At 45.7% G+C, this 13213-nt stretch overlaps 3 protein-coding genes across 5 annotated transcripts in view, besides 1 other annotated feature; 1 reads left to right on the top strand and 2 right to left on the bottom strand.

Moving 5' to 3' along the window:
* Window positions 1-1941, bottom strand: part of SLC19A3 (solute carrier family 19 member 3) — a 34266-nt gene extending 32325 nt beyond the window's left edge. For all 3 annotated transcript variants that reach the window (NM_025243.4, NM_001371413.1, XM_047445927.1), the window contains exon 1: window positions 1856-1941. The gene's annotated coding sequence lies outside the window, so the exon portion shown is untranslated. The remainder of the gene's footprint in view (window positions 1-1855) is intronic.
* Window positions 1472-2358: an enhancer, noted in NCBI's record as "H3K4me1 hESC enhancer chr2:228582275-228583161 (GRCh37/hg19 assembly coordinates)". NCBI's record gives its function as "activates a minimal SCP1, AML or CMV promoter by ChIP-STARR-seq in naive H9 embryonic stem cells {active_cell/tissue: H9 hESC(naive)}" and the evidence as "EXISTENCE:reporter gene assay evidence [ECO:0000049][PMID:30033119]".
* On the bottom strand, window positions 8353-8670 carry SCYGR6 (small cysteine and glycine repeat containing 6). Its single transcript, NM_001395407.1, has one exon. The coding sequence runs from the start codon at window positions 8668-8670 to the stop codon at window positions 8353-8355; it is 318 nt and encodes a 105-aa protein (NP_001382336.1).
* Window positions 8671-12247: 3577 nt separating this feature from the next.
* SCYGR7 (small cysteine and glycine repeat containing 7) lies at window positions 12248-12538 on the top strand. The gene has a single exon (NM_001395408.1). The coding sequence runs from the start codon at window positions 12248-12250 to the stop codon at window positions 12536-12538; it is 291 nt and encodes a 96-aa protein (NP_001382337.1).
* The last annotated feature ends 675 nt before the right edge of the window (window positions 12539-13213 follow it).

The following is a 13213-nucleotide window of genomic DNA, read 5'->3' on the forward strand; positions in this document are numbered from 1 at the left end:
GGAAAAAACTGGATTAAAGAAAAATTAGAGGTCATTTGAGCTATTTTACAACTCTGTAAATTTTAACAACTGATGGCAATGTTAAGTAATTATTGTCTATAGACATGCAAATAAGGTTTATCCCATGAAGGACAACAGTCTTCCTTTCCCCCATGGAAAACCAGTTTCAATATTCCTGATCTATATTTCATTATTCAATATTCCTGATCTACGAATGTACCCATTCTTTGGGTTCTTCTTTGATCTGGCTACTACAGACTCATCAGTTTCGTCACTAATAAGTGCCGGGACTCAGAAGCCGATACCCCAAAATATGGGGCTTTGACATGCTGGAGACCTCAAGGTCTCTCTGACCTTCCCGGCTCCCAGCTCAAAAAAACCTTTGTCTGCCTAAGATCCAGACCCACCAAAAGGAACAACTGTTTCTTTTCCCTTCCCTGTAAGACCAAGAATATACCCCACACCTGAACAGACCCATTCACAAGATAATGTAGCTTATTCTCTCCCCTGACCCATTCATGCTCCCTAGCAGAAGCCCATCCACTTCTGCTGGATGCTCTTCGGCTCCCTCCCGTAACCTCATTTGCCAGGGTAGTCTATAAGCTTCTGAGACATGTTGCAGGGTGGGTAATCAATCACTCTGATTCTCCCTGTGTGCATGTTAAATAAATGTGTATGCATTTACCATTACACAACCTTAAAAGAGTGTTGTTGGTCTATTAGCAATAATGACTGAAGGAAATTGGTATTTTTGTCCATTTCAGCTACTACTAGGATAATCTTATAAGATATTTGGGAAGTTATGTTTTGGTCTATTTAATATATGTGCCTCGATGAAAAAAACACCTTTTGCCACAGGAGACACCAATGTTTCAATATTGATAGGAGCAAAACACATGAGAGTGCTTTTTTTTTTTTTTTTTTTTTTTTTTTGAGGCAGAATCTTGCTGGGTCGCCCAGGCTGGAGTGCAGTGGTGCAATCTTGGCTCACTGCAACCTTCGCCTCCCAAGTTCAAGCCATTCTTCAGCCTCAGCCTCCAGTGTAGCTGGGATTACAGGCACCCGCCACCATGCCCGGCTAATTTTTGCCTTTTTAGTAGAGACGGGGTTTCATCCCAGGGCCAAGCTGGTCTCGAATTCCTGACCTCAAGCAATCCGCCCCGCTCAGCCTCCCAAAGTGCTGGGATTACAGGCGTGAGCCACTGCGCCTGGCCTGAGAGTACTTTTAGAAAACATTATTCCTTTACCTTTTTCAAACTTGAAGCACTCCGAAAGTCCCAACCTTTTGCACATTTGCGGCAGCGACATTGATTTGGTAAACAGCTGTCACACTATTTATTATTTGATGACTTAGGTATCCTTTCCAGCAGTGTTTTTGTAAGGTGTAGTTGCGTTTTCTTTTAGTTTCAATTAACTAAATTTCAAGTGGTTCCCAAAAAAGCCCCTGCTCTCTTAAATTCAAACTCACCTTCCTTTTTCCCACTAGGAAGGACCTTTTCTCCATCCTTGGATTGGAATTTGGAATTCTATGCTAAAATGCCTTTTCAGTTAAAATCTGTGAACGTGGGATGTAACCATAGGAGGTGCTGGCACTTTACGGGAATCATGATTTTATTTAATCTGCGCTTCCAGAAGGCTGCAAATGGGAATTCCAGACAAACCCACTTGGGTGAATCCCAGCACGCGGGCTGCGGCGTAGGGGGAGAGCTCCTCACGCGGCTCAGAGTGTAGCCCAGGCCCGCAGAGCCAGGAACCCGCCCCCAGCTCTCCAAACCCGGGAAGAGAGAGGCGACACTGCTAAGACCGAGGGATGACGGTGCTTCTTCAATTAATTCGCCCCCCGAGATATTCTTACCTACAGAAGGGAGTGTCTGTTCACCAAATCGCTCACTTGCCGCACGACCACGCACCCGCGGCTGTCGGATGGATCCAGGCGCTCTTGGTGGGAAGGGGGCGGAGCCTGCCTGGCCCGGAGCCCGGGGCCACGCCCCCACGCTTTGCATATGCGAATCCGGGCGTCCAGACCTTTCATCCCAGTGTGGAAGCCCAGATTTTCCTGGCCCAGGGCCGGTTTTCTGGGCAGAAACAGTCAACTCTGCTGAAAGGAACAACTTAAGTAATACACTGACATTCAGCATAATGAAGCAAGAGGGCCTGAATCCAACAGCGATCGTTTGCTTTATTTACAAATATGTCCTTTCTTATGAATCCATTTATTTCTCTCCAAAAGCTTAGGAGAGAGGGCTGGCTGGCTGTCACCCCCACTCTACACATGAAGAAAGTGAGGCGGAAGGAAGTAGGCCTAGTAAATAGAGAAGCCTGGGTTTTAGTTGGGGCTCCTGGCTCCAGAGCCAGTGGTTATAATCACTCTGCACTTTTTTTTTTTAAAGGAGGTAGAGTGGGATGGTTTCCTGGCACTTTGAAAATCTGATACAAACAATTTTTTCTTTTCTTCTTCTTTTTCTTTTCTTTTCTCTTTTCTTTCTTTCTTTTTTTTTTTTTTGAGACAGAGTCTCCCTCTGTCGCCCAGGATGGAGTGCAGTGGCGCGATCTCGGCTCACTACAACCCTCCGCCTCCCGGGTTCAAGCGATTCTCCTGCCTCAGCCTCCAAAAATTAACGCCCAGTTAATTTTTGTGTTTTTAGTAGAGACGGGGTTTGGTTTCACCATATTGGCCAGGCTCATCTCGAACTCCTGGCCTCGTGATCCGCCTGCCTCGGCCTCTCAAAGTGCTGAGATTACAGGCGTGAGCCACCGCGCCTGGTCTTTTTTCTTTCTTTCTTTCTTTCTTTTTTTTTTTGAGATGGAGCCTCGCTGTTGTTGGCCCCGGGCTGGAGTGCAATGGCACGATCTTGGCTCACTGCAACCTCCACCTCCCGGGTTCCAGCAATTCTTCTGCCTCAGCCTCCCTAGTAGCTGGGATTACAGGCGCCCGTCACCACACCCAGCTAATTTTTGTATTTTTAGTAGAGATGGGGTTTCACCATGTTGTCCAGGCTGGTCTCAAACTCCTGACCTCAGGTGATCCACCCGCCTCGGCCTCCCAAAGTGCTAGGATTACAGGTGTGAGCCACAGCACCCGGCCACCTGGCCTCTTTTCTTTTCTTTTCTCTTTCTTTCTTTCTTTTTTTTTTTTTTTTGACAAAGTCTCACTTTATCTCCCAGGCTGGAGTGCAGTGGTGCAACCCCAGCTCACTGCAACCTCAATCTCCCAGGCACACTGATCCTCCTGCCTCAGCCTCCCAAGTAGCTGGGCTTGCAGGTGGGTGCCACCACGTCACATTAATTTTTTTGTTTTTTTTTTTTGGTAGAGACAGAGTCTCACTATCTTGCCCAGGCTGGTCTTGAACTCCTGGGCTCAAAGGATCCTCCTGCCTTGCCCGCCCAAAGTGTTGGGATTACAGGCATGAGCCACTACGCTTAGCCTGCAAAGAGTTTATATATTAAAGTGAAACTTCTTATTAAACAGAGAATTTTTTTAAAGCATTACAAGGTTCTTATTGGTTAAAATGGAAAAAATATTTTTATTTCTGTTCATCTCTTGGTGGACTTGAAAAACCCTCCCTAAAGATAAACACTGCGTGGCTTCTAAGGGCTACCAGTGGAAGTGAAATGGATTAAAACACCCCGAGGTGTCTTGGTTCTCTGTCCTACGACTCTGCGTTTTCTATTTTCATCTTCCTATGATTTGTGAAAAGTCCTGAGCTGAACCTTAGGTGTAGGAGTGCCCTGCTCATTGTGCAACCTTGCAAATTGCTGGGTCCTCCCAAAGAATATTGTGAAATTTTCTTAAAGGCTGAAGGTGTCATGATTTCCTTCACACCTCTTGAAGAAAATGAGTTCAAATTGGACCTTGAGAAGTTTACTCTGATTCTCTAATATCTCATAGCCACAGTCTAAATCAGAGAGAGATATTGAGGAATTCATTCATTCATGCATAGAAACATAAATGACACATTTGCAGATTACATGACATGACATTTGAGTTTGATCCCATACGACTGTGTGGGGAGAAGGCTGTGGATGGGGTCATAGATGACAAAAGATTGGCTGTGTGTTGATTATTGTTGACTTGGGCAGTAGTTCTTAGAAACTGATTGCACTATTTTCCATTTTTGTATATGTTTATTTTCCATAATACAAAATTGTTTTAAAATCATTTATTCTGACTGGGCACAGTGGCTAATGCCTGTAATATAGCACTTTGGGGAGCCGAGGTGGGTGCATCGCTTGAGCCCAGGAGTTCAAGACCAGCCTGGGCAACACAGTGAGACCCTGTCTCTACAAAAATACAAAAATTACCCAGACGTGGTAGCATGCGTCTGTAGTCCCAGCTACTTGGGAGGCTGAAGTGGGAGATTGGCTTGAGCCTAAAGAGGTGGAGGTTGCAATGAGCTGAGATCACACCATTGCACTCCAGCCTGAGTGACAGAGCCAGACCCTGTCTCAAATAAACCCATACACAAAAAAGAAAAAAAAATCATTTGTTCATTAAGAAGTTATTTATTGAGTAACTATGTGCCAGACACTGTCCTAGGTGCTTGGGATACATTCGTGAACAAAGCTAAAAATCTCTGCCTTGTAATTTACATTCTAGCTTGGGATGGGGTATATAGAGGGAACATAAATAGTAAACATGATGAGTTAGTGAATTTTATAGTGTGTTAGAAAGTGGTAAGTGCCGTGGATCCCACTGAGAAGAGGATGGAGAAGATGACTAAGCCTGAGGCTTGGAGCTCCAACTTGGGAAAGAACCTACAGGGAGGCTGAATGAGAACAGTAGGAGAGGGAGCCATAGTGTATTAGGGAGTTGCTCAACACTGTGTACCTCCCTATTATACTTCCTCTTGCACTGTTACTAAAAAATGTGGCTGCAATTATGTCCATGAAAACCTATACAAGGCCAGGCATGGTAGCTCACGCCTGTAATCCCAGGTGAGTAGATCACCTGAGGTCAGGAGTTCGAGACTAGCCTGGCCAACATGGCGAAACCCCATCTCTACGAAAAATGCAAAAATTAGCCAGGCGTGGCGGCACACCCCTGTAATCCCAGCTACTTGGGAGGCTGAGGCAGAAGAATCGCTTGAACCCAGGAGGTGGAGGTTGCAGTGAGCCGAGATCACGCCACTGCACTCCAGCCTGGGTGACAGAGTGAGACTCTGTCTCAAAAAAAAAAAAAAAAAAAAAAAAAAGTCTATTTGAATAGTTGATATAGGAGTGGAGAAAAGGTGGCCAGGCAAAGAAAATCTCACATTAGGATTACTGCAAGTAGGCTAATTTATCTGTTTCACTCTTAAATGTTAACTCTTTGAAGGCAAATATTTGTTTAGTTTTTTTTTTTTTTTTTTTTTGAGATGGAGTCTCACTGTGTTGCCCAGGCTGTAGTGTAATGGGTCGATCTTGGCTCACTGCAACCTCTGCCTCCTGGGTTCAGGGGATTCTCCTGCCTCAGCCTCCCGAGTAGCTGGGATTACACGCACCTGCCACTACGGCCAGCTAATTTTTGTATTTTTAGTAGAGACAGGGTTTCACCATGTTAGTCAGGCTAGTCTCAAACTCCTGACCTCAGGTGATCTGCCCGCCTCGATCTCCCAAAGTGCTGGGATTATAGGTGTGAGCCACCGCACCTGGCCTTATCTTTAGATTTCTATCTTGGCTGGATAACTGGCCTAATAGAGCAGCCACATATTTGCTGAGTGAATGAGTAAAAAACACATAGAGAGTTGGAGAGAAGCTGTGACCTGCCGTACTGGGACCATCCAACACTCCCAATCATAAATCAGTTGCAGATGTTGGAGCTCATAAACCGATAACACAAAATACAGTGCCTTGAGATACCGAACTGCAGAAGCCTAAGGGTCTGTCTGATCTCCCCGACAAGGTCTCTTCTGAAGAAGCTGAAGTCTTCTGTCTGCCTAAGATCTAGACCCACCAAGGGGAACTATGGTTTTTCCTTCCCCTCCTTGTAAGAGTAAGAATGTAACCACACTTGAATAGACCCTCTCACAGTCAAAGAGAACTACTTACAAATTAATCTCAGTACCTGATCCTTTATTGTCCTTCAGCAGAATTCCTCTTCTTCCTCCTCCCATAATGTGTTTAGCCAGGCTGGTAGATTGAAGGGGGCCAGCCTCTCCACACCTGTGGGTATTTCTCGTTCATCTCTTGGTGGGACGAGAGACTGAGAAAAGAAATACGACACAGAGACAAAGTATAGAGAAAGAACACTGGGCCCAGGGGACCGGCGCTCAGCATACGGAGGACCCGCGCCGGCTCTGGTCTCTGAGTTCCCTCAGCATTTATTGATCACTCTCTCTACCTTCTCGGCGAGGGGGATGTGGCAGGACTATGGGGTAATGGTGGGGAGAGGGTCAGCAGGAAAATATGAGCCAAGGACTCTGTGTCATAAATAAGTTTAAGGAAAAGTGCTGTGCCTCGATGTGCACGTAGGCCAGAATTATGTTTGACTTTACACAAACATCTCAGTGCAGTAAAGAGCAGTATTGCCAACAGCATGTCTCATCTCCAGCCATAAGGTGTTTTCTCTTATGTCAGTAAATAGAATGTACAATCGGGTTTTACACCGAGACATTCCATTCCCAGGGATGAGCAGGAGACAGATGCCTTCCTCATATCTCAACTGCACAGAGGCCTTCCTCTTTCACTAATTCTCCTTAGCACAGACCCTTTATGGATGTCGGGCTGGGGGATGGTCAGGTCTTTCCCTTCCCACGAGGCCATATCTCAGGCTGTCTCAGTGGGGAAAACCTTGGACCATACCCAGGCTTTCTTGGGCAGAGGTCCCTGCGGCCTTCCGCAGTGCATGGTGTCCCTGGGTACTCGAGACTGGAGAATGGCGATGACTTTTACCAAGCATACTGCCTGCAAACACATTTTTACCAAAGCACGTCCTGCACAGCCCTAAATCCATTAAACCTTGAGTCAATACAGCACATGTTTCTGCGAGCACAGAGTTGGGGTTAGGGTTACAGATTAACAGCACTCAAGGCAGAATAATTTTTCTTAGTACAGAACAAAATGCAGTTTCTTATGTCTTCCTTTTTCTATATAGGCACGGTAACAATCTGATCTATCTTTCTTTCCCCCACAGTGTATAAGCTTCTGAACCCTGTTGGGAGGTGGGTACACTCAGTGATTCTCCCTGTGCAAACATTAATATATTTCTATGACTTTACCTTTTTTTTCTTTTTTAATCTTCCAGGGTGGATTGCAGTGATGCCATCTCAGCTCACTGCAACCTCCGTCTCCCAGTTCAAGCAATTCTTGTGTGCCTCAGTCTCCCGAGTAGCTGGGATTACAGACATGTGCCACCACACCCAGCTAATTTTTGTATTTTTAGTAGAGATGGGGTTTCACAGTGTTGGCCAGGATGGTTTCAAACTCCTGGCCTCAAGTCATCCACCAGCCTCAGCCGCCTCCTAAAATTCTGGGTGTATGCCTTTTCTGTAATGAATGTACCTTTTTTGTGAGTTGATTTTCAGTGAACCTTTGGAGGCTGAAGGGGAAACTGCATTGACCCCAACACGGACCCACATCCTGGGAAGATGTGTAGACGAGCACAGGAATTTCTGTCAGTGACACTGATGACCAAAGGTTGGAATTTACTCCTAATTTTTTATCTTTATTGTAAAATCTGCTACAGCATAGTATGGGACCTGGCATCCACTAACTGAAACCCATCCCAAATCTTTACATATCACCCGTTGTCTTTTGCTTTGTTGGCCTCACCAATGCAAGGTGTACATCTTACAGAACACAGAGATGCCTGAGAATATGGAGAGATTATTATTTTTATTAAGGAAGAGTAGCCTTTTTTTTTTTAACAGGGACACAGAAACAGGAAAGAAGTTAGTGAATGTGCAATATGAAACAACAATAAATCCATCATAAGAATTTTTTTCAAAAAAATGAAATATTAGTTCTCACGATTTTATTTTGTTAAGCTCAGAATACAAATATATTTTTGACATGGGTGGCTGTGCTTCCACCCCTTATGTTGATAACATATGCTAATCTTTTATCTTTTTTTCCAAAAGAAAACAAGATTACGAAAATGATGGAGAATAATAGCATAATAGCACAATAGCATAATAGCATAATGTTAAGTCTTGGAAGATACAGGGAGAAGGAATTGAAGTAGACATACCACCACAAAGGAGGAAAAACAATCCTGACACTTCAGACTACAAGGGACAGCATGAGCAGTTCCAACGCATCCAGGCAGATGAGGCAGGACAGAAGCAGAAAGGAAGGGTGAAGGAAAGTTTCACCAAATTCTGTGAGCAAAGCCTCAGCGTTTCTTAGGCTAGAGGCAGAGCCAGGCTGGCCCGCCTAGCAGCAGCATTGCTTCTTGCAGCAGCCCTTCTGCTGACAGCAGCCCTTCTGCTGGCAACAGCCCTTCCCACAGCCACAGCCGCAGCCACATGAGTGGCAGGTGCGGCGGCAGCAACAGATCACGGGCGTGCTGCAGCAGCCTCCACAGCAGCCGCGGCAGCAGGGGCAGCAGCTGGAGCAGCAGCCCACCCGGTAGCACCTGCAGGTGGTGCAGCTGCCACAGCCACCACCGCAGCCACCACCACAGCCACCACTGCAGCCACCACCGCAGCCACCGCAGCCACCACCGCAGCCACCACACCCACAGCAACCCATGGTGTCAGTAGAGAGGACTCAGGTGAAGTGACGAGGAAGGACTCAGCAGAGGTGAGGAGGTCTGATGTTCTTTGCTTCAGGGGCTCTTAAATACCCCTTCCAGGCCTAACATGTGGCAGGTGGCCACTTCCTTGTTTCCTCCAGCTTCCCTGGAGGAATTTCACAAGACCCTGAGTGTATTTCCTCATTGAACACCTCTGACTTCATAAAATTGCTTATTTTCACATTTACTTCTTCCTCAGGTTATGCTTCTAATTGTTTCTTAAATATTTAGTCTTGTTTTAACCTAGCAGTTTTCAAGTGTGATCTATGAGTCTCATTTGATGAAAGCCCATCTCCTATCTTCCATTAATCAGGATCCCTTGGCGCCGAGAGGATCTTTCCCTTGGTTTCCCCCTCCTCTAAAGGAAGGCTTTTCTGTTTTCAGGTGGTGTCTGCAGAATGCAAGAGAAGGTGAGATCCCTCATGAAGGAAACACTCAAAGCTTCACATGTCATAAGGTCCCTTGGCTAACATCTCAGAAGGCTTTCTCACCTGTTTTCAGACTTACTTTTGCTGTTAATTCACAAGTCAAAATATGGGAAAGATACCCATCTTGGGTTGATGGTCACGGTGTATTTCAAAGTGAGCTTCCCACACTGGCTCATGTTCCCCTCTTGTCCTATACTCATGGATTAGTGGATGAGGTAGCTAAGAGCCTCTGCCACCAGCTGGTTTCATGTCCCTAAAAAAGCCATGATCCCTATGTGACCCAGTTTCCTTAGCTTAGGGTAAATAATGCATAAACTTTTAAAAGACCTTATTTTTTAGAGCAATTTTTGGTTCACATCTAAATTGAGCTGAGGGCCGGGTGCAGTGGCTCACACCTGTAATCCCAGCACTTTGGGAGGCTGAGGTGGGTGGATCACTTGAGGTCTGGAGTTCCAGGCCAGCCTGGTCAACATGGTGAAACCCCGTCTCTACTAAAAAATACAAAAATTAGCTGGGCGTGGTAGTGGGCACCTGTAGTCCCAGCTACTTGGGAGGCTGAGGCAAGAGAATTGCTTGAACTCGACAGACAGAGGCTGCAGTGAGCCGAGATCGAGCCACTGCACTCCAGCCTGGGTGACAGAGTGAGACTCTGTCTCAAAAAATAATAGCAATATAATAATAATAATAATTGAGCTGAAAGTACAGAGTTCCCATATATTCCCTGTCCTCCCCAACACAACCTCCTTCACTACTGACATCCCATGCCAGGGTGGTACATTTGTTACAACTGGTGAACCTACAGTGAGACATCATAATCACCCAAAGTCCATAGTTTTCATCAAGGCTCACTCTTGTCTTCTTTCACCACCCTGGGTACTTAGCCCCTTCAGAATCATACGTCCTGCCGGGCGTGGTAGCTCATGCCTGTAATCCCGGCACTTTGGGAAGCTGAGACAGGCAGATCACCTGAGGTCAGGAGTTTGAGACCAGCCTGACTAACATGGTGAAACCCTGTCTCTACAAAAAATACAAAAATTAACCAGGTGGTGGCTCATGTCTGCCGTCCCAGCTATGCGGAAGGCTGAGGCACGAGAATGGCTTGAATCCGGGAGGCAGAGGTTCGACAGCCTGGGCAACAGAATGAGACTTGGTCTCAAAGAAGAAAAAAAGAATCATATGTCCTAGGAATTGTCTCCAAAAAATTAAAAGAAAAGAAGAACTTCATGTAAAGTCCTTTTGCAGCCTTCAAAGGCTATTCCTAAACTGGCATCCTTTTCCACAGTGCTATGATGTGGGGATTTCTACAGAAATCCCTTAGATTTCTGTAGAGCAGTGGATCTCAATGAGGGGCAATTTTGCCCCCAGGAGACACTTAGCAACATCCGAAGACATTTTTGCTTGTTTTTTTGTTTTGTTTTGTTTTGTTTTTGAGACAGAGTCTCACTCTGTCACCCAGGCTGGAGTGCAGTGGCACTATCTTGGCTCACTGCAAGCTCTGTCTCCCGGGGTCACGCCATTCTCCTGCCTCAGCCTCCCGAGTAGCTGGGACTACAGGCGCCCGCCACCATGCCTGGCTAATTTTTTGTATTTTCAGTAGAGACGGGGTTTCACCGTGTTAGCCAGGATAGTCTCGATCCCCTGACCTCGTGATCCGCCCACCTCGGCCTCCCAAAGTGCTGGGATTACAGGCGTGAGCCACCCTGCCCAGCTAATTCCCTTATTTCTTAATTGCCAATGTTAGTTTCTGTTAAGATGGATGGGGATTTAACTCTCTTGTGTCACTCCTAATATATTTGTATTACTAGTTTTTGTAATATCTATAACCAATGGTAACTTGATTATTATAATATAAATATTGCTCGCTCAACTCAAATAGTCTATATAATTACATTTCCTGAAGCAGTCTTTTATTTTTCTAAAGTATTGGATTTAATTCTCTCTCTCTCTTTTATTTTTTTAACTTTTTGCTTTTATTTCTCTTGATCTATTTGCCGTTGTCAGCCACATAATGTTTCATGTAGATTTTCCTCTTGGACAGTAATTGATAAAACTTTTCAAGCCCCCAAACTTATACTTTATTCTAATTACAAAATGCTTTCTTATTTTAAATGCCATGTGAATTGTATCAAAAAAGATGTATCATTGCGAAGGTTTACTTGTGCTTTATAAGCAATCACACAATGTTATTTTATTTATTTGTTTATTTCTTGAGCCAGAGTCTCACTCCGTCACCCAGGCTGGAGTATAGTGATGCAATCTTGGCTCGCTGCAACCTCTGCCTCCCAGGTTCAAGTGATTCTCCTGCCTCAGCCTCCAAAGTAGCTGGGACTACAGGTATGCACCACCATGCCCAGCTAACTTTCTGTATTTTTTTTAGTAGAGATGGGGGTTCACCATGTTGGCCAGGCTGGTCTCGAACTCCTGACCTCAGGTGATCCACCCGCCTTGGTCTCCCAAAATGCTGCGATTACAGGCATGAGCCACCACACCTGGCCAACACAACGTTAAATATACTGAATAATGAAACATAGAGCCAGGCTTTATAACTGTGTGGTGGGGAGCAAAATCTTCCATTCTCAGGGGGACAATCTCCAGTGAGAGTATCCGGCTGCTTCTGCAGTTGGCAATGACATATGTGCCTGAGACACCTGCCATTTCTCCAGTCTTTGGTAAGAGAATTTCTGGGCACTATACAGGAATAGCCTCCTGATAATGTTTATTCATTGTTCGAACGTTGGACCATCCATTCAAGCATTGCTGTTGTACTATATGGGCTTTCTGAGTGTGTCCAAAACTGTTGATAATACCCCCTTTCCCATGGCTCTCAGGAGGTCTTACTGGAATTTTTAGGACATTCGACTCAGAAAATAAACAAAACAAGTAATCTCATAAACCTAGCTCCCATTCCAAAGGGCAGTAAATAATATATTATGAGATCCTCCCATGACAGTTGACCCAAACAATAACTAGGAAGTGGTCATGTGTCTTCCCTCTCCTCTTCCCAGAGTTGGTACATAAGGGCCTCCCCCAGCAGAAGGAGGCATCAGACCTCCTCACCTCTCAAGTCCTCCTTCCTCACTTCACCTGAGTCCTCTTTACTGACACCATGGGTTGCTGTGGTTGTGGAAGTTGTGGTGGCTGCGGTGGTGGCTGTGGTGGCTGCGGTGGTGGCTGCGGTGGTGGCTGCGGTGGTGGCTGTGGCAGCTGCACCACCTGCAGGTGCTACCGGGTGGGCTGCTGCTCCAGCTGCTGCCCCTGCTGCCGCGGCTGCTGTGGGGGCTGCTGCAGCACACCTGTGATCTGCTGCTGCCGCCGCACCTGCGGCTCATGTGGCTGCGGCTGTGGGAAGGGCTGTTGCCAGCAGAAAGGCTGCTGCCAGAAGCAATGCTGCTGCTAGGCGGGCCCCCGGCCTCTGGGAAGATGCTGCAGGTAACGAACTGTCCTGTTGGTAAATTTTCTCTCCCTCCTGCCAGGCTTCTCTGATTTGAAAGTCACAAGAAGTTTTATCCACATTCCCTGGTCTCTGAGATCCTGCCTGCACGTGAAAACCACCAACACAAACCTTCTCTATCAATCACCAATCAAAGTATGAGTCCAAAAAAAAACAGAGGGATATTTTTAATGCTATGTTTTCTTGAAATTTTACTGTTGAAATGTTTGTTTCCATTCCTTTTCCCTCCTTTCTGTAGTTTCTGTATCCTGCATGTCTGCTCCTGCTTTCTGTTTCTGTAAACCTGAGACAATATTTTCCCAATTAACCACATAAAATTGGCATTAAAGATTCATGGACATCTCCTTCTTTCTTTCATTCTTCTAATGTGTCTAAAGGAAAGATGCGATGAAATCTAGAAAACTAACACTCCGTATGTTTGTTTGTGATGGCTTTAGAATAATAACTAACAGACTGGGTGCGGTGGCTCACGCCTGTAATTAAAGCACTTTGGGAGGCCGAGGCGGGCGGAGTTCAGGAGTTCGAGACCAGCCTGACCAATATGGTGAAACCCTGTCTTTACTAAAAATACAAAAATTAGCCAGGTATGGTGATGGGTGCCTGTAGTCCCAGCTACTTGCG

The sequence above is a fragment of the Homo sapiens genome, chromosome 2, assembly GCF_000001405.40.
Source record: "Homo sapiens chromosome 2, GRCh38.p14 Primary Assembly".
Taxonomy (NCBI): domain Eukaryota; kingdom Metazoa; phylum Chordata; class Mammalia; order Primates; family Hominidae; genus Homo; species Homo sapiens.